The sequence below is a fragment of the Homo sapiens genome, chromosome 3 (assembly GCF_000001405.40).
Source record: "Homo sapiens chromosome 3, GRCh38.p14 Primary Assembly".
NCBI classification, from domain to species: Eukaryota; Metazoa; Chordata; class Mammalia; order Primates; family Hominidae; genus Homo; species Homo sapiens.
Genome location: NC_000003.12, coordinates 16,204,654 through 16,226,010, shown reverse-complemented (window position 1 = coordinate 16,226,010; position 21,357 = coordinate 16,204,654). Strand labels below are relative to the sequence as shown.

Below are 21,357 nucleotides of genomic sequence, written 5' to 3'. Positions count from 1 at the left end.
GTGGTGTGATCTCGGCTCATTGCAACCTCCATCTCCCAGGTTCAAGCGATTCTCCTACTGCAGCCTCCCGTGTAGCTGGGATTACAGGCATGTGACACCATGCCCAGCTAATTTTTTGTATTTTTAGTAGAGATGGGTTTTCTCTACTAAAAACCCATATTGGCCAGGCTGGTCTCGAACTCCTGACCTCAAGTGATCCACCCACCTCTGCCTCTCAAAGTGTTGGGCACCGTGTGTAATATTTTTAAGGTACATCCATGTTGTACCACAAATCTTTTTCTTCTTTTTTTCTTTTTCTTTTATTTATTTATTTATTTTGAGACAGTCTCTCTCTGTCACCCAGGCTGGAGTACAGTGGCACGATCTCAGCTCAGTGCAACCTCTGCCTCCTGGGTTCAAGCGATTCTCCTGCCTCAACCTCCTGAGTAGCTGAGACTAGAGGTGTGCACCACCACACCTGGCTAGTTTTTGTGTTTTTAGTAGAAACGGGGTTTCACCATATTGGCCAGGCTGGTCTCAGCCTCCTGACCTCGTGATCCACCTGCCTCGGCCTCCCGAAGTGCTGGGATTACAGGCGTGAGCCATTGAGCCTGGCCTCTTTTTTAAAAAAATTGTGATAAAAACACATAGCAAAACTTTTACAATCTTAGGCATTTTTAAGTGTAAAGTTTAGTAGTTGATATAGTTTGGATGTTGGTCCTCCCTAAATCTCATGTTGAATTGTAATTCCCAGTGCTGGAGGTGGGGTTTGGTGGGGGATGTTTGGATCATGGGGACAGATCCCTCATGGCTTCGTGCTGTCTTCTTGATAGCGAGTTCTTGAGGATCTGGTCATTTAAGAGTGTGTGGCACCCCCTCCCCCACTCTCTTTCTCTTGTTCCTGCTTTCACCATGTGATATGCCTGCTCCCACTTCATCTTCTGCCATAAGTAAAAGCTCTCTGAGGCCTCCCCAGAAGCAGATGCCACTATGCTTCCTATACAGCCTGCAGAACCATGAGCCAATTACACCTTTTTTCTTATAAATTACCCAGTCTCTAGTATTTCTTTATAGCAATGCAAGAATGGCCTAATAGGCCTGGTGTGGTGGCTCACACTTGTAATCCCAGCACTTTGGGAGGCCGAGGCAGGCAGATTACCTGATGTCAGGAGTTCGAGACCAGCCTGGCCAACATGGAGGAAACCCCGTCTCTACTAAAAATACAAAATTAGCTGGGCATGGTGGCAGGCACCTCTAATCTCAGCCACTAAAGAGGCTGAGGCAGGAGAATCGCTTGAACCCGGGAGGCAGAGGTTGCAGTGAGCCGAGATCCTGCCATTGAACTCTAGCCTGGGCAACAAGAGCGAAACTCCCTCTTTAAAAAAAAAAAAAAAAAAAAGAATAGCCTACTACAATAGTGTTAAATATATTCACATTGTTATGAAACAGATATCCAGAACTTTTTCATCTTGTAAAAGTGAAACTCTATAACCATTAATAAACAAATTCCCTTTTTCTCCTCCTCTGCCTGCCTCTGGTAACCACTATTTTACTTTCTGTTTCTATTAATTTGACTACTTTAGATATCTCATAAAAGTGGAATCATACAGTTTTTGTCCTTTTGTGATGGGTTTATTTCACCAGCATAATGTCCTCAAGATATGCCCATGTTGTAGCAGGTGATGGGATTTTCTTCCTTTTTAAGGCTGAATAATATGTGTATGCCACATTTTGTTATCTCTTCATCCATGGTGGACACCTGGGTTGCTTTCACTTCTTGGCTATTGTCAACAGTGCCACTATGAATAGTACCTCATTCCTTTTTCTGGCTGAATGATAATAACTTTTAGAAGTTATTTATTAATGCCTGAAATATGCTGGGTGTATCTTACTCCCTAATCTTTTACTCATTATTACTTATTTTACTTATTATTTTTAAATGCTGTTTCTAAAGTATATCTTATTCATAGGACTTGCTTAGAAAAATACTTTATGATCATTTATAAAGGACCTTAACTTGACTCATAAGACTTCTTTGAGGCCAGACATGGTGGCTGACAACTGTAATCCCGGCAATTTGTGAGGCCGAGTGGGTGGATCACCCGAGGTCAGGAGTTTGAGACCAACTTGGCCAACATGGCAAAACCCTGTCTCTACTAAAAAATACAAAAAGTAGCCAGGCGCAGTGGCTCACACCTGCAATCCTAGCTATTCAGCAGGCTGAGGCACAAGAATCGCTTGAACCTGGGAGGCAGAGGCTGCAGTTAGCCAAGATCGCACCACTGCACTCCAACCTGGGTAACAGAGTGAGACACTGTCCCAAAAAAAAAAAAAAAAAAAGACTTCTTTGAGCATGTGTGGGCCCCTTGAGTCCTGCCTTCAGTTGGTCACCAAAGCCCCAAATGCTCTGTTCTCAAGTGCTTATTGTGAGCTTAGCTTAAGTTTTCTATCATACGATTTTCTTCTTTCACAGCCTGCTTTAAGAGTACCAATGCACAGGATTCTGCTTAGTCATTTTATCCTTTTTATTCCCCAGCAGAAGTTGAAGAAATTTTTAAAAGGTGTGTATTTATTTCTTTGTATGTTAATACCCCAACTCATTTCAGGAAGAATTTGAAGTAGAGAAAAAGCTGTGTATGGACACAGTGTTGATACTGTCATCTTCCGATCCCGATTCTGTATATAGGACCTGCCCACTCTCCTTAAGTACGGACATTCCTCCTATTCCCTCCCTAACTTCTGGGAAGGATCTATAGTTTCTTTCCCCCAGGGTAATAGGGGTCAAAATTTTACTAAAATGATGAAATACTTACAGTGCAATTTGCATTGAAAGGAAGAAAGTGATATCTATATATCTATATATTTACATCTACATCTGTATCTAAAGTTTCTTGGTGGGGGGAGGGACTTTGAATTGCTCCTAAAACCACACCACCAAGGTGGCTGAACGTTCCTTGTAACATGCCTCACCATCCTACTTGTGAACTGAGCCAATAAACTTCAAAAAGAGGTGTATCCCTCTCTCTGCAATGACAAGCATCAGAGCTACACAGAGACCTGGCAAATCATTACATATGAAGATGCCAGTGGGCCAACTTTGCTGCTGGGTTGCCTTTTCCTCCCCCTGAGGCCTTACTGCCCAGCCACTAAGTTCAAAAGCAGAGGCAGAGGTCCCTAATACCTGACCTCTTGGAAGAGCCCAGGATCCAATGCCAACCAGCAGTTCCTTCTGACCAGCAGCACTACCAGGCTCTTCCTGAACAGATTACTCACCTCCTGGAAGTCCCAGTGCTGCTGGTGGATGGCCAGGCCTTCCTCCGTGCAGTTCTGAAGAATCACCTGCTCCTGCCTGACAGCAAAGCACAGGTGCTGTGGGCTGCCAAAGTGAATCTCCTTCCTGCTGGTGTGCTGCAGGTACTGTGACAGAAGCAATAGTTGTTAGCGCAGCTAGAAAGAGATCCTCTTCAAAGCTGTAGAGGAGGTAAGAAGAACCCACTATAGAGCTGAGGTCTAGGGGCAATCTTCAGATTCTATCGGGGTCAGAAAGACCATATCTCATGGTCAAGTCCAAAAACATGCTGCTAGACTAGTCATAGCCTCTGAAGTCCCCACATTCCACCTGCTCTTACATTCATATTTATACATTCTGGCATGTTTCTCTGTTACGTTATTTACCGTATCATAGGTGAGGCCATAAAAAGTGCTGTGTGTTTTGTTACTATACTGTTGAAAGCACAGATGAGGAACCTCTCTGAAGCCCAGGTTGATGTCTTTCTGGAGAGCCCTAACCTGCTCCTGAAACTAACTTTCCTGCCGTTTGTTGTATCTGCTGGCTCTCACTCATGGTTATTGTTTCCTCTAGTGTTTTGTAGTGTTGGATTGTGCACACCTTTGAGAGGGGCTTTAACTGTGAGGATCTTGTGATGATTAATTAGAAGTCATGTCCTGGAAAGACTATTTTCTGTTTGTTTCTGTCAGATGCAGCCTGAACCCATTTCTACATTAATTTTGTGGCTTACAGACAGGATCAACTTCATGGGTATGTGACCTGTGCAGTCACATGGGGCCTCATGCTTAGATGGGTTTAATAAACTTGATTTAATGCTCTGCTGTCACTGTCTTGAAATTCTTAATAATTGTCAAATTAAAGACTACATTGTCATCTTGCACTGGGCCCTGCAATTAGATAACCTGTCCTGCTTGAGGATTCCCAAGCTACACAATTAGTACACATGTGAACCTAAGCCCATATTAGATGCAAGCTTGTGGTTAAAAATTCTCAGGGAAGAATAATTTGTTTCCTACTCAAAGCCCCTGTAGGGACAAGCTTCTTACCATTTTCCTGTGGCAGGGGGTGGGTATTTCTAGTCAAACTTTTCAAGGACAGGTTACCCTTTGAAGGTCAAAGCTGGCTTGCTATGGGGGTGTCATTTCTGACTTTTCATCTCTCATGGGCTGAAGGTGGGCTCTCGTCACTTATCCCTTGCATGCAGCCAACAGCTGTAGATTCCCGGGGCTCATAGTAACCATCCCTCACACTTGGTAGGGCAGCTTCGCCCATGTCCAATTCCTCTACTTTCAGTTGCCTCTTGTTTTTTGACCCCTGGAGGTTTCCCTTTCTTTCTTATAAACTCGTTTATTCATGAAAAAGGGTGTTTCATATTTTTTTATCTGGCATATCTTATCTAGGTGTTTATAGGGAAAGGCTTTCAACTTTTCTAGTTTACAATATTGCAGGATCCTAAAGTCCTTACTATTTCAAAAAAAAAAAAAAAGAACAAGAAAGAGCTAATATTCCTTTTGCATGAAGGAGGCTGTATTGTTCTTTTGTTTCTTTATTTTTTTTTTTATTCTTCTTTTTCAAACCCAGAATAATCTCTGTAGAGGCTGCATTATTCTTAATTGCAGGAGAGGAAACCAGGATTTAAAGAAGCCTGCCAAGATCACACAGCTAGAAAATGAGAGAGCTCAGATTCAAACCGAGCTATGTCTGACTGCAAAGCTTGAACAATTTTCACCCTACCATGTGGCTTCTTCACTTAGCACTTGATGTTTATGTCTGCATCCCTTGTGCCAGGTGTGAATGCCTATCAGTATGTCCTAGGAGATTGGTAAAGGGCAGAGCCAAAGGAGGCCGGATGGATCCTGAGCATCTCCCTCCCACATGTCCTATAGGCCCACAGCCTGCCCCCAGGAACCCAGGGCCTGCACTGCCAAGCCCAGCCTCAGCCAGCCTTCCATGCAGGGCTGGACCACAGACCCTCAGAGAGATGCTGTCTTTTGCCCCCCAGATCTTTGATTCTCATCCAGTGAATATCTCCAGGAAATTATACTTTGATGTTTGTTTTATTAGGGGCCTTTGGGATGTGATAACTTAAAAGTCCCTATCACACCCTGAAAAGAGAGAGACTTGGGGACAAGCTAGGCTTTCTAGGTTGTGATCCAGTTGTGAAAAGAAGTGGACCTACCAGCCCTCAGCTAGCATCGGTGGAGGATTTCTACCACTTTGGGCAGTTACTCCATGATGAAAATTTTGAAGAGAAGAATTACTCCTAAGATATGAGGAGACCTTCCTAATGACCAAATGGTGCTGGAGGCTGGGATGACCCTGTTTTCTCTAGATCCTTATCCTGATTTGATTACCTTCTTCTTCAGTCCTGGGACAACTGAACCCTGCCTGAATCCTGGAGGCTTCTGAGTTTGCAATCCCTGGGCTAGTGACCCTAAGCCTCAGTTTTCTCATCTGTCAAATGAAAAGTTTGGCCAAACGGCTTCTCCATTTCCCTTTAACTAAGATGCTTTTATTTTCTGACAATGGCACATGTCTGTGCTTACAGATGGAGGTGAGGTGAGGAGAGCTGTGATGAGTCATTACAGTGGGGGACCATGGCAGTCAAGGGACATGGGACCACAGAAAGAAGATACCTCAAAGGGAAGTATGGGGCATCCCAGAAAAATATCGCCCACTTTCAAGTCTTCTTGGGCTATCATCCATCCTGAGAAGTCTGACTACCCACCTGTTGCTGCCGGCTGTCACTGCAAGGAGCCAACACCATGGGACAGCCCAGGATGTCCCCTTCTGCCTGGCAGTCTGCACAGAGCCCAAGTCCAGTGTTGTGGAGCTGAAAGTGGACACACACACAGGAGTGAATTCCAGATTCCACTGTAAAGACACCCTCGGTCAGACACCATTCCTTTGCTGTATTCTCTGGAGTGCAGCCCAAGGCACATTGTTCAGGCCACAACAACAGGTGTGGTAAAGCTGAAGCCACTGACCCTAAGGGACAGGCCTCTTGAAGGAGGTGCTTTGGGGTGGGTAATGGGGCAAAACTCAGCCACCTTCCTCAGACTGGCATGGAGGCACGGGATGGACCCAAGGCCTCTGAGGCCCTGCTAAACCGTGAATGGTTGACCAGGGACATGGAAGAGCTGAACATCTAGTTCTTGTCTTGGGAAGCTTCCCTGTCCCTCCCCATCTTCCCTGGGTCATGCCTTGCCTTTCCAGAGAAACTGGGCCTGGGTTCAGATGGGTACAGCTCAGGGTAGACATTAGCCAGAAACCAGTGGAATGTCCGACAACCCAGTCTCCTTTGCAGCTGCAAGCGTTCCATGCAGTCTGGCTTCTCAGCCTGGGGAGGAGAAAGACACAAGCAGGATGATGAAAGCTTGTCTTGCCCAGAATTCACATGGTTGGGGATGGAGTGGCTGGGAAGAAGCTAAAGGATCAGGACAGAAGGAAGGGGCCAAGACCACAGTTCTCCAGGGCTGCAGTGGGGAGGGTCATGTGTTGGGAGAAGAAGGTCTGGAAGGGATAGAATAGCACAGATCTTCCCTACAGAGAGTTGTGGAACCAGCAAGACTGTAAGTGATATCAGCCCCTTCCCACAATCCCTCAAATCTCCAGTCTATAAAGACTACAATAGGCCGGGAGTGGTGGCTCACACCTCCAGCACTTTGGGAGGCCGAGGCTGGTGGATCACTTGAGGTCAGGAGTTCAAGACCAGCCTGGCCAACATGGTGAAACCCCATCTCTACTAAAAATACAAAAAATTAGCCAGGTGTGGTGGCGCATGCCTGTAATCCCAGTTACTCAGGAGGCTGAGACAGGAGAATCACTTGAACCCAGGAGGCAGAGGCTACAGTGAGCCAAGATCGTGTTACTGTACTCCAGCCTGGGCGACAGAGCAAGACTTCCTCGCAAAAAAAAAAAAAAAAAAAAAAGAGAGAGAGAGAGAGTCTATGATATCTGTGCTTTAATGATTTTTCTGCAGAAGCTGGCAAAATGGTGGGGCTTTGCACCTAGCTTGGTGTAAGGAGAAACTACGAGGGGCCTCATGGAGTCAGGAACTGACCCATAGGCAATTGAGATGAAGTTGGTTGGGAAATCGTGGGCTAGGGGTTGGGGCAAGGCAAATTTATCTTTCTTCACCTCTGGGTACCATTAATGAATCATTCTTTTGGGCTACACTATCTCCTTTTTTTGAGATTCTCCTTTATGATACAATTGTCCTAGGATGGAGATGAAGGCAAATCCTGAACACTAGTACAAATTAATGTTTTTGGCCATATTGATGATACAAAGAACTGTATCCAAAAGTTTAGTACCAAATCTTGGATACTTTTAGGGAAGAGAGAGGTGACAAGGATGGGTTGGAATGACCACAGACAAAAAAAGAGAGAACCCTTTCCTGGCATGGGGAGAGGAAGCGAGCTGGCCATGTCAGAGTTCCCACTTGGTGGCCTCCAATCTGACAGTAAGACACGGGTCCACCAGGCTGTGTAAAGTATGATTGGTTTGGTTCTGCTTTCCCTCTCTCTTTTAGACCTCAGCTGGAAATGTGGTAAGTCTGTTGTACTGAAATTCTCTCTAGACACTTCTCAAAGTGTGATTCCCTGAGCATCTGCCTGAGAAATGCCACGGAGCTAGTTAAAAATGTAGATTCCTGGGCCCTGCCCCAGAGATGATACAGTTGTTTGGGTTGGAGGCCCTGGAATCTGCATTTTAACCATGTCTCCTGGTGAGTCTTTTTCACACAAAGTTTGAGAAAAACTTCTCTAAGTCAGGGATTTCTTGTTTATTCAGTGTATTTACCCACCATGAAACCAAGGGGATCTATTACTTTTTCCTCTAAGTAAATTAGTATAAGTTTCTTGATGGCTTCTTGGCATTCTTTGTGTTTATTTGAGACCTCCGTAGACCTTTCCCAGAGTTGGACTTTGCTACCAAAACAGAAACATTTCTTCATATGAGTTTTATCACCTTTACTTTCCTTGATAAAGAGATAAACTGATAAATCTACCCAATCTTTGTTTGACCTTGAGTGAGGGGCAGGCTGACAATGAACTTTCCCTTCTGTACAATTATGTCTGAGAGAAGAGAAAACAAGGAAATTTCAGCTCCCCAAGCAGCAAAAGTCTGGCCTTGTCTTTTGGGTGCCCAGGATTTCTGTCTCTCAGAATCCTTGTGGGGGTTTTGGGGTGGATGGAGAAATAGAAATCTTTAGGGCAAAATTAACTTTTGGTTATTTAAATTTAAAGTAAATTCATGCTATCAAATACCTTCAGGGAAGTAGGAATGTCACTGAAACCTTGAAATCAAAGTAAGTGATAGGACATTTCCAAAGCATGAATTAATGGAAATGCTCAACAGAGAGAGAAATAAAAGGAGCCCTCTGCTAAAGCTCTTCTCACTGACCAATAAGGGTGCCATTCTCCTTGCAAAAGTCATCAAATGAACAAAGTGGACATCTGTGAATCAGAGAATGGACACCCAAATGGATATAAGAAGAAAAAGGTACCTCACCTGTAGACTTTATGAAAGTAAGCCGAGCACTTATTCTCCATAGCACTCTTTCACATTTCATTTTATAGTATACTCACAACAGTTACTGAGTTCTTAGAGGTTAAATGACTTTCACAGGGTCAATAGCTTCTAAGAGGTCAGAGTGTTTTATTAGGTAGCTAGTCAGACATAAGCAGGGCAGGAGAGGATTTTCCCCGACCCCCCCAACCTCCAGGGATGTCAGGCCACCATCAGGTGTTGGTTAGGCAGCTGTTAACTGTCTCTCTAAAATAATAATTAGTTGCAGCTGGCACCAGGGAACGGCAGTCTCCCAACAGATAGAAAAACCTGAAATTGGTGATCAGCTTCCCGATATGATCTCAGGAGTTGGGCAAGTGGGCTCAAGCATGTGCACTAAGAGGCAAAATGGTGGCGTTTAACTGGTACATGACCTTCCTCCGGGAATGCGCAACTGGTAACGCCTCACGTGAGCATGCGAAAAATTTCAGTAAACACACTGCGCATGCTCCCCTCCCAAGGGCTAACAGGCCACTGCACGTGTGAACAGCCCCCGCCAGGGGAAGAATCAGGGAAAAAGGGACACAAGCCCCCAGAAGCATGCCAATGTATAAGACCCCAAGTGAAAAATCAAACTGCGCACTTAATTGATCGCTCAAGTCCCCCACTTGGCCCTGTTCCAAATGTACTTTACTTACTTTCATTTCTGCCCTAAACTTTTTTTTTTTTTCCCGAGACAGAGTCTTGCTCTGGCTCGCAGGCTAAAGTGCAGTGGGGCGATATCAGCTCACTACAAACTCCACCTCCCTAGCTCAAGCCATCCTTCCACCTCAGCCTCCCGAGTAGCTGGCACTACAGGTGCACACCACCACGCCCAGCTAATTTTTGTAGTTTTTTGTAGACACAAGGTTTCACCATGTTGCCCAGGCTGGTCTTGAGCTCCTGGTAGACTTTTTAATAAACTTTCACTCCTGCTTTAAAACTTGCTTTGGTCCCTCACTCTGCCTTATGCCCCTCAGTTGAATTCTTTCTTCTGAGAAGGCAATAATTGAGGTTGCTGCAGAACCATATAGATTCACCACTGATAACAAGAGCCAAAGGTTGATCTCAGGTTTAAAAATTTTTTTGCCATCCATCCATTCCATTCCACCAATAAATGTTTATGGAACACGTACTATGTGCATGGGATTCAACCAGGCATTGGAGATTTAAAGGTCAGCAGAATAAATACTCTTCCTGCCCTTTTTGAGCTTGTAAGTCTGTGGAACATTTATTGAGCGCCTTCTTCTTCTTCTTCTTCCTCTTCTTTTTTTTTTTTTTTTTTTGGCGGAGTCTCCCTCTGTTGCCAGGCTGGAGTGCAGTGGCATGATCTCAGCTCACTACAACCTCCGCCTTCTGGGTTCAAGCAATTCTCCTGCCTCAGCCTCCTGAGCACCTGTGACTATAGGCACGTGTCACCATGCCCAACTAATTTCTGTATTTTTAGTGGAGACGGGGTTTCACCATGTTAGCCAGGATGGTCTCGATTTCTTGACCTCATGATCCACCCACCTCGGCCTCCCAAAGTGCTGGGATTACAGGCATGAGCCACTGTGCCCAGCCGAGCACCTTCGATATACCAAATACATCCTTGCCTTCCCCCAAATTCAGACAGAACTGTAGAGGATAGCTTATTTATGGACGTCCAACTATTTCTGGAAAAGTATGGTGTCTACATTTGAGGATTACTGTTTCGATGTTAGAGAGCTAAGAGAGAAAAAATACTAAAAGGTTGGACTAGTTCTAGTTCTACTTCTGGTTCTTTCCCCACTTCTCTTTAGCAACTCACCCTCTCATGGGACCTCAGTTTTCTGTTTTATAGAATGAAGGACTTGGGTGAATACAAACAAGCACTTAAAAAATCCTGCAATCACCATCTGGACAAGCAAACTGGATTTTCCCAAAAGCAGACCAGTCATGCTCTAAAAAATCATGCCAGTCCCCAATTTCTGTAATTGTCTAGAACAAAGTATATATTCACAGGCACTTCTAATTGCACCAACCAATGTGGGAAGAAGGTTGAAGTTCTGTAAATAATTTGCATGCTGTTGCATTAGGCTGGCCACAGCCAACATGCCATGTCCTAATGACCCTGTCTGGTGGAAAGTTAGTCTGGCGCATCAAAAACTATGCAACATTTAACACTTCTTTAAGAGTTCTTTACAAATGCAGTCTGTGCCAATGTTAAGAAAATGTCCTCTGAAAGCAAAGAGCTAATACTAAATCCCAAGAGAGAAAAATAGATGGTTTGGCCAAAAGAAACCCAAGAGAGTAAAAACCAGAGAAGCTCTGTGGACCTCTACAGAACTCTGTAGAAGGCCAGTTGCTCCCTGTTGCTAATTGAATAAAGTCTAAACTGTTTAGCCTGACCCTCAGGGGCTCCAGAGTCTTCCCCCAACTCCTCCTCTGGATGTCTGAGTTGAACCCATTCAGCCATTCTTCAGATGTGACCTCCCCTGAAAAGATGTCTGTCATGACCCTGTCTAGGATGAATCACTCTCACCTCTGTGAACATTATCTCTTCCAGAGGAGCTCCTGCCCCACCAAGAACCTGATAAGCATTGGGTATGGTTCTCTGTCCCCTGCAGGACCCACCCAGGGCCTGGCACAGAGCAGGTGCTTGGTTGACCTTTTTTGACCATTAGTAGCCATGACAATAACGATGGTATTAATAGTAAACACACAAGCAGGGCTTACTCAGTGCCAGGCACTCATCTAAAGTGCTTTGGATTTATTAACGTATTTATTCTTCCTAACAACAGATGGAAAGCTTAACAAACGAGGAAGCAGAAACACTGAGTGTTTAAGTAACTTTCGGATCATATAACCAATACTTAAACCCAAACCATCTTGTTCTTGGAGTCCATGGGCTTAACCATCAGACTATACAGCTTCTAGATCGGTGTCTAGAGTTGGACACATGCTTCCACTTCCCACAGATGGCGATGGAGAAGGAGACTAAAGAAGAACAAAGATGCTAGCTAGTAAGTGAGCTGGGTCCTTGTGAGAGTTTTCCTTTCAATCCCAATGCCTTCCTGGAGGAACGAAGGAGGCTGCTGTTAGCAGCATTTCTCCTGCACCAGGAAAGGAGCCAGTGCCACTCTGTTTAATAGTGTGACTAACCGACGGGGTCCAAGAGGAGACTGTAGCCTGCCTAGACCTTGGGAATTACTGTTGAGTCCCAGGACTCTGTGTACTGTTAACACTCTCCCCAGCTAAAGAAACAAAGATCCTTGAAGTTCATGGAGCCCTGACACATCCCAGGCCCTGGAGGCTATTCCCACTTAGGGAAAGGATTGGATCTAGAATGGGGAGGAGGCAGCGCCCTGAGGACCAGGGCAGAAGGGGAAGCTCTGGGGCTGCTCTATGGGGCTTCCCTGTCAGGCTGGCCCTGCACTCAGGCATGTCCTTCCATTTAAGCGGCCTAGGCTTCATCTGTGGCATGCAAACTCACATCTAACTCACACCCCAGCAGTGTGGGCTGCTAAGGGGCTTGTGGGAGCTGCTCCAGGACTGTTGTGGGTCCTGGGAATCTTGTCTTTGGAGCCCCCACTTTCAGCACAGCAAGCATTAATGTGAACCCATTTCCCACATTAAACAGCATTTATGGGTCAATCTGGAAGGACTGGGCTGAGCAGCCACTGACCAATTGATAATGTGCTGTTTGTGGACATTTAAATGTTTAAAATTTTTATTTTTCTGTGGCTTTTTTGGACTCTATTTTTTTTTTTTTTTTTTTTGAGATGGAGTTGCTCTGTCACTCAGGCTGGAGTGCAGTGGCGTGATCTCAGCTCACCTCAAACTCCACCTCCCAGCTTCATGCCATTCTCCTGCCTCAGCCTCCCGAGTAGCAGGGACCACAGGCGCCCACCACCACACCTGGCTAATTTTTTGTATTTTTAGTAGAGACGGGGTTTCACCATGTTAGCCAGGATGGTCTCGATCTCCTGACCTCGTGATCCACCCACCTCGGCCTCCCAAAGTGCTGGGATTACAGGCATGAGCCACCGCGCCTGGCCTTTGGACTCTATTTTTATATTTAATATTTGTTTCATGTCTTGGATCATTTCATAGCCCTGAGCCCTTTGCTCAGGATGAAAGGAGACCTGGCCTTGGAGACCCATCTCATCGCTTCTCTGTGCCAACCCCTCCCCTGGCCCCAGGTGAGGGATCCCATCCCATAGATGTCATCCCATAGATGTTAGGGAGCTTCAGGCCAAGGCCAGCTGTGCTGTCCCATGGAGAAGCCAGAGAGACAAAGGACAGCCTCACCAGGTGGAGGAGCCACTTAAAATAGGGCAGCATGAGGGAAGCTCAAGCCAGAATCTTCTGTTTTCCCCTCCAGGCAAGAGAAAGGAGCCCTCCCTGGCCCACCTCCTGCTAGTGGCCCTGTGCTGGACACAGAAGCCCCACTTGGCTCTCTCCTTACCTTGCTCAAGGAGAAGGCCTCTGGGCTATGCTTGTAGAAGGTTTCTTTGAATGACCCCAGCCAGGTCTCAGCAATGCGAACCCTGTTCCTCAGGGTGGCCTCCTGGTCGAGGGGGGAATGGGAATCCTGATTTTGGTAGATGTGTCCTACCCGAGAGCAGGGAAGGATTTCAACAGAGCCACCACAGAGCCAGGCCTGCCACGAAGGGAAAAGATAAACACCTCAGCATTCCACCTTTAAGAACGGCGGGAAATAGGGAGCCCTATCTATGAGGGGCTGGCAAAATGCACAGGAAATCGTGAGCACTCAATGGTGAAGATGATTATGGTCCTCAGGGTGGCGTAGAGTTTCCAGATTTGGAGGTTCTGGGCAGGGGAGTGACAGGGTGGAGAGAATAGAGGTAGTTGTCCCAAAATGGGGACAAGAGGGCCATCCCCAGGCAACTACCTGAATATGCTGCCCTTCAAACACATGCAGGTCCAGCACTTAGAGAGATGTAGCATGTGAATTAGCACCCCTATTCCCCAAAGGACACTTCCTCAGGGAAAAAGATGATCTCAGTGGTCCGGGAATATCTCAAAGCTTGTGAAGTGTGCTACAAAGACACCAGAAGCTGTTTGTGGTAGAGACAGAAGCAAGCTTTCCTGAGACACAGTCTTTACTATTTCAAGAAATTTCCCTCTGCTCTCCCACTCCCAAACGGCTGGAGTTCATTCGGCAGGAAGACTTTCATTCCACATTTGAGGATAAAGGTTAAAGTAGAAGTACTGTCCTAGGATAAGCAGCATATGAATGGAAACACCAAAACTGGAGTTCCCAAATTATGTGCCAAGGTGCCCCAGGGTGCCACAGCAAACTCATAGGGTCTGGGGTTAAATTTTTGAGAGAAACACGGTGACATCTGTTGGACTTCATGCAGAATACAAGCGTCAGGTAATTCACACTTTCAGCATTAGATCTCTGCACTCTTGATGATGAATTTTTTTTGGTGTTGGGTTTTCGGAGGATACTGTGATGAAAAAGCAAGTATCATGCTAGAAAAGCAATGTGGGACAGGAAATGAGGGTGACTCCAAGGTTTGAGAAGTTGTGTGGTGCCCAACAGGTGCTAAGTTTTTATGACAAGTATTACATTGTTTGGACCAAACTACTCAATACACAGAACTTCAGGTATTTGTTTTGGACTATGGGTGCTGTGAAAAAATTACTAAGATGCTAAGAGCGCTGTGAATAGAGAATGTATGAGAGCCTCTGGAATCTCCGCACAGCAGTTAAAATAACTGAGAGTATGCCTATTCCTGGAAGCAGGTTTTGAAGGCACTGAGAGTGAAACCAAGCTACAGCACAGGAGAGATGGGAAACTGTGAGAAATGGGAGGTTTGACACACAACACAGGAATGACTTTATAATTTTCCCACAGCCTCATTCCTTCCCAGTGACATTTCTAATGCCTGCCTCTGAGCTGTGACCATACACACCACTCCAGAGATCCCACCTCTGTCCTCCCTTGGTCCAGGACATACCTTGAAAGACAGTTCGAGGTTTTCACCACCTCGCAGCGACATAAGAGAGTCATACGCTCCAGTGTTTTGGAAGTAATGTCTGTCCATGGCCACCACCTCTCCGGGCACCACAGGGCTCCTGGACACAGAAGACAGGCAGGACACTGCAGTTCAGAACCCAGAGCACAGCAGGCGAGGCTGGGGGCTGGGGCTTCCCAGGTGGGAGCTCCAGTGGCTGAGAGAACAGGCTTTAGGCTCAGGTAAAATGCAATTTTTTAATTGCAAGACTGGAGCAGAGCCACGATGTCAGAAATCCCAGTGTTTGATGGAAAGAGAGCTATTCTTGCCTGGGCCTTCTATACTCTGTCCTCAGATACTGCTCCTAGAGAGGGCCTAGGGACCACACCTGAGACTCCCCTGCCCTCTGGCTTGAGTCCCTCTGGAAAGATGTTTGGGAAGAAGGCCTTGCTTAAAATCAGGTACTCTAAGAGAGGTAGCACCAGGCCTGACACGGCGACATGGTCAGGCTCTTTCCTCCTTTCTTTTTCTCACCCTCTTCTGTTTTCCTAATGACCATCCACCCTCTTCCCAATTCTATGATGAATCCACCAGGGACCCTGGAAGCAGATAAGTCCCCACTGCCCTAGGGGAAAAATACATGATTTATAAACACAAGAAGCTAGAAACCTTTAATAAGGGAATTAAGATCATAATATCCCTCAGAGGGATTTTAAACAGAGAAAGATGTAGTCAGAGGGTTTTTGAAAAAGGGTCCCTTCATCTAGGAGGAACAAATTTGAATGCAGCCAAACTCTGGGAATTTTTCAAAGTGTAAATGACTAAGAGTTCAGATTTTTCTTAATTACCAAAGAAATAGTAATGCATTAACAAAGCTACTGGTCTTTAGGTTATAAAAATTCTACATTATACCAAAATACTAAAAACTGATATTGTAATGATTATTCAGTATAATTTCCAACTCTGCCACTCCCAATTTGTAAGATCTTAGGTGGGCTATGTGTCTTTGAGCTCAGCTTCCTCACCTCTAATTGGGGATAAAATAGTGTTTCATAATTGGGTTTTGCGGGATGACTAAGGTAAGCCATGTAAAATATGTAGCTCTGTGCATGCCACATTTTAAACGCTCACTGGATTTTGATGTTACAAGTTCAGCATTCCTTTTCTGACACCTGTGGGACCAGTGTGCTTTTTAATGCAGAATTTTTTGGACTTTAAAGAGGGACATACATCGTATACCACACATCAGTCCTAGTGGGGTCTGCCCGGCACTCTTTAGTCAAATATACTAATATTTCTTTGATGAAACACACATATTTTCACAGTAAGCAGTAAGTGGGATAAATAAGGCCAATGCAGACACCCCATGTCAGTTCAGGGCAGCTTTTGCTGCCTAATGATTTTGTTTTTGTTTTTTGTTTTTGAGACAGAATCTTGCTCTGTCACCCAGGCTAGAGTGCAGTAGTGTGGTCTCAGCTCATTGCAACCTCTGCCTCCTGGGTTCCAGTGATTCTTGTGCCTCAGCCTCCCAAGTAACTGGGACTACAGGAGTGTGCTACCATGCCCAGCTAATTTTTTTTTGTAATTTTAGTAGAGATGGGGTTTCGCCATGATGGCCAGGTTGGTCTCGAACTCCTGGCCTCGAGTGATCAGCCCGCCTCTGCCTCCCAAAGTGCTAGGATTACAGGCATGAGTCACTGCATCTGGCCTGCTGCCTAATGAATTATTAAACAAATGTTTGGTTTTTAGAGCTTTTTGGATTTTGCAATTGTGAATAATGAACTGTGGCCTTGTATTTAAAATATAGCATAGCAGTGAAGCAGTCGTCTCAAGGGCCTGGCTGTCTGGGTTTAAATTCTGGATTCACCTCTCACTGGCTTTATAGTGTTGGGAAACTTTAAAAATCCTTATGTACCCCAGAAACCATGGGGGCAGACAACCAACCCCACTGTGTCCTTTCAGAATTCATATCCCACAGAATTCATGAGCTTAATAAAATGGCTGTGTTTTACACCAAGTTTGAGGTGATTTGTTATGCATAAGATATCTAGTACTTCTACTTAAATAGAAGAGTCATCCAAAAACCAAACATGTGAGAAGCGACCCATACAATAGGATATATTTGAGACCTATGGTTCTTAGCATTCACCTGGTTGAATTCTTCCTATTTGCTAAGACGAGACCTGAGGAATTCACACTGTACCTGATGAGAGAGCTGGGCCAAGATTCCATCTCAGGTTGCCACACACTGGGGCATTAACTGATGCTATCTGGAAGACCCTGTCGGAACTTTATGAATATGACAATATAATGGTGGTAGCACCTACATCTGGGTGCCTGGCACTCTCTAAGTGCTTTTCACATATTAGTTCATTCAATCTTCACAACAACCCTTATAGGGTAACCCTTATAGGTAAATACTATGATTGCTCTCAATTTACTGAAAAGGAAACTGTGGCATACATTAAGTAATTTACTAGGAAACTGTGGAGGTAGGATTAGACCCCAGGCAGGCAGGCTGCAGAGTCCATCCTGAGGAGGCAATGGCAAAGCAGGTGTGAAATGGGGACTCACCTGATGGGGCTTATGGGGGACTGGAGGGCCTTCCTCACATGCTCTGGCAAAGGTTCCCAGTGGAAATCCAGCTTCCAGTCCAACACCCCACGCTGCAGGTCCTTTGAGGGGTAATACTGGAAAGTCTTCCAGTCAATCACATCTATCACCGGAGATACCACTCGGCTCCTGGAAAGAATTGTGGAATTAAACAAGGGACGTAAAGCATTTACTTGCTGGGGCTGGAAACAGTCTGTACATGGGCTGCCCAGTATGGTGGCTACCAGACACCCGTACCTAAAATGGGTTTATCCAAATCAGGTGTGGAGTAAGTGTAAAATACACCCTGGATTAAGAATACTTAGTATGGAAAAAATGATGCAAAAATCTTAATAATTTTTACATTGATTATATGTTGAAATGGTAATATTTTGGATATATTGGGTTTACTGAACTATATTATTAAAATTAACTTCATCTGTTTATTTTTATTTTGTAATGTGACTATTAGAAGTATTTTAATTACATATGTGGCTTGTGTTATATTTATATTATATAGCACAGTTCTAGAAAATGTTTTTCCATAAGGAATTAGGGTGTATTGCTTTAAAGAGCATGCCAGTACTTTTCTTTCTTCAAAAACCTTTCTTGACAGCACTGAGAGATACAGAGACGGGTCCTAGGCTCAGCTCTGCTACTAATGAACTATGTAATCTTGAGATACCTGTTATACCTCTCTGGGCCTCAGTTTCCTCATTTGTAGAATGGGAGGTTGAACTACTTCCCACAAAGGCCTTTCTCAGCTGCAATGCTCTAGGACTGTGGCTCTTAACTTCTTTTGGGGTGCTTGATCCCTTTGAGATTCAGGGGAAAACTATGGGCCACTCCTGAATGAAATCTTCCATGTCCATATAAAAAATATTGTGCACGATGTCAGAGAGTTTATGGACCCCTGCTCTCAGGTCTAGTTCTTCTTCCTCCTTGTAGTGTAAAACTGGATTGGCTTGAGAAATCAGGATTTCCAAGCCCTAGAAGTAACCCTACTGTCAATGCATGCATATATGAACATCTGGTATCTATAATCAAAGTCCTGACTATTTTGGGTTATTTGCTCATTTCCCGGTAATGGTGGGGAATTTTAGGCCCAATTTTTTTTTTTTTTTTTTTTTTTTTTTTTTTTTTTTTTTTTTACAGCCTGGAGATATGACTGCAGAGTGATGTGAGAAATTGACATGGGTCATATACTTTTTAACTAAGTAGGTAATCACTCAGGTGTCCCAGGAGCTGCTATCCACCTAGCCAATATCTCAATCACATTTTCTCCCCCTGGCCTGTCATGGTAATTATGTCTTCAATCTGTGCCATGGAATGAATCAGGCCTGAACTTCAGGGTGGCTAGAAGATATCACTCTAAGAGAAGTGAGATTCCTGGGAGGGGAGATACTAGCCACATTGTGTTTACACTACCATCAAATTCCATCTCTGTTCCATTGTCTTGGATAGAGCCAGGGTGGCCCCATGATTTCATTATCTGCTTTAATCTATGGCTTTAGGTAACTGACATAAGTGTAAGGAGTTGTGGGGTCTATATTTAGAGCAAGGATCTTAATATGCTTTTCCTGCCTCTTTCACATTGTTTCTGCTGGAAGGCAAAGGGAACATAATCCCTCTGGGTTTCCCCTATTTTGGGGTACCCTGTATTGACCTAAGAAAACTGAGAACCTAGACCAGGGAGGAAATGAGGGCACCCAGAGCCCCTTCCAGAGCCTCCACTTACTGTGTAATGAATCAGGCAGATGGATAAATTTGGCTATTGGCAAAGCATTTTGTGGAATTTTGGAATCAAGAGCCAGGGAACTGTGTGGCTGAATTAGGAAGAAATGCATGAAATTTGTGCCACCTTCAGCAATCATAAGAGGACAAGAAAGGGACTTGTATTCAAGCATTCCTGCAATCAATTCATCCTAGACCTCTATGCTGTGTATTTCTTTCTTTCTTTTTTTTTTTTTTTTTTTTTTTTAGACAGAGTCTCGCTTTGTTATCCAGGCTGGAGGGCAGTGGCGTGATCTCGGTTCACTGCAAGCTCCGCCTCCCAGGTTCACGCCATTCTCCTGCCTCAGCCTCCCAAGTAGCTGGGACTACAGGTGCCCGCCACAACGCCCGGCTAATTTTTGTATTTTTAGTATACACGGGTTTTCACCGTGTTAGCCAGGATGGTCTCGATCTCCTGACCTAGTGATCCCCCAACCTCAGCCTCCCAAAGTGCTGGGGATTACAGGCGTGAACCATCGCGCCCGGCCTTTTTTTTTTTTTAAATGGTCTCACTCTGTCGCCCAGACTGGAGTGCAGTGGCACAATCTGCGCTCACTGCAACCTCCACTTCCCAGGCCCAAGGATTCTTCAGCCTCAGCTCCCCGAGTAGCTGGGACTACAGGCATGAGCCACCATGCCCGGCTAGTGTGGGGGTGTGTGTGCGTGTAGAAATGGGATTTCGCCATGTTGTTGAGGCTAGTCTCGAACTCCTGAGCTCAAAGTGATCTGCCAGCCTTGGCCTCCCAAAGTGCTGAGATTACAGGTATGAGCCACTGCACCCAGCCTGTGCTGTGTACTTCTTAACAAAGGAGTACGTTGCTTTTTATTAGAAAATGAGAATTCTAAAATTCATTATGTTTCTCTTTTTGTTTTGTCTTTCTGGAAGCTCAGAGTCACATGTAAAACTCACTTCTAATAACTGTATTACCCCTGATTCCCAATACCCTCTTTTCCTTTCTGAAATCTTCTTTTTCCTCTATTTTAACTGTATACAAGAGTGATTAATCATGAGCTTCCCTGAGTACATTTTGGATAGAGATAAAGAATAAAATGTCAGTGAATGAAGTGAGGAGTGTTTTCTATTTTGGTCTTTATTCCCATGGACCACAGTGGCTGCCTAGCAGGACTAAATTACTAACTGTAGTCTACTGACTCAAAAACGGTGATTAATTCAAATAAAAAACCCACAGTCTTCTATTTAGCTTTGTGGTTTTGTACCTACCGATGTGTCTGGTGTTCTTGGAATTCACGTCAAGCAAAATAGCGAGCTGACCTCGTTTGACTTGGAAGGAGCTGGAAGTGTCTGCTTACTTCGTCAGTCCCTCACCTGTGAATTGAGTTTTAACCCTCAGGCAGGTACAAGGTTGATCCTATGTTGAGCCTAAGTTCCAGGAGATCAAGTGCTTATGTTTCAAAAGGCAAACAGAAGGAGTCAAGCTGCCAACAAAGACTGGTTCACTGAAATACGTGAGATCAACGAATACATTACTGTCCAGATATTCAAGAGCTAACTGTAGTTTCAAGCTTCCCATAACCTTTTACCACAATAAAGAATAAGCCCTCGTTTATCTCATTCCTTGTTAATTCTCGTGAGCCTGGATGTTCCTCAAGGTCCATGATACACAAGCCATTTTGAAAGTTCATGCGTATTCTTGGTGTTTGTGGAAAGTCTCTTATACTAGAAGCAGAAGGCTCTGAATTCTCCCTTCCCAGTGCTCTTGCTGCTCAGTTGTGACCGCAGGACTGGCATCGGCTTTTCCAGGGGCAGATACGAGGACGTGTCATGCTGAAGGGTATGAAGTACGATGGTTGCTGGAGAGTTTCCTTGGGGCACCTGAGCCAAAGAAGGCTGCTCCCTCTGGGGGGGCAGGAGGCATCCTGACCTCCTGCTGCTCCTTGACGCGCACATGCGCGCGCACACACACACGCACGCACATGCTCGCTCCCCCCCACACTCAGACTCTCACATGCTTACACACACACACTGACTCACATGCACAAGCACAAGGGGTTCTTACACTGCTTTCCATCATTTAACCCTTCAAAGGGCAGAGTGGGAGGTGTTCTTCTCCCTGCCCCACATTGCTTCTCCCCATAGCACCCCTGGCTGATCCTGAAGGACCGGATGTCTCGCAGATAGGGACCAGACCCATTTTCAAGTAAGAGATAACTTGTTCAGCTTCTTGAGATGATATCATCTTTCAGCCCCTTTCAAGACTGTCCCTT

The 21,357-nt window shown here is 45.0% G+C and overlaps 1 protein-coding gene across 4 annotated transcripts in view; it reads right to left on the bottom strand.

Annotated features, from left to right (window-relative positions):
• GALNT15 (polypeptide N-acetylgalactosaminyltransferase 15) overlaps positions 1-21,357 on the bottom strand; it is a 73,545-nt gene that overhangs the window by 22,214 nt on the left and 29,974 nt on the right. For 3 of the 4 annotated variants that reach the window (XM_005264852.6, NM_001319051.2, NM_054110.5), the window contains exons 4-9: positions 17,341-17,508; positions 14,770-14,887; positions 13,248-13,442; positions 6,477-6,608; positions 5,997-6,101; positions 3,253-3,396 (exon numbers count right to left, since the gene is read on the bottom strand). In XM_005264852.6, coding sequence (XP_005264909.1) covers positions 3,253-3,396; positions 5,997-6,101; positions 6,477-6,608; positions 13,248-13,442; positions 14,770-14,887; positions 17,341-17,508 — 862 coding nt within the window. Of the gene's footprint in view, positions 1-3,252; positions 3,397-5,996; positions 6,102-6,476; positions 6,609-9,109; positions 9,242-13,247; positions 13,443-14,769; positions 14,888-17,340; positions 17,509-21,357 lie in introns of those variants that run through there. The other variant, NM_001319052.2, reaches the window with a different exon arrangement.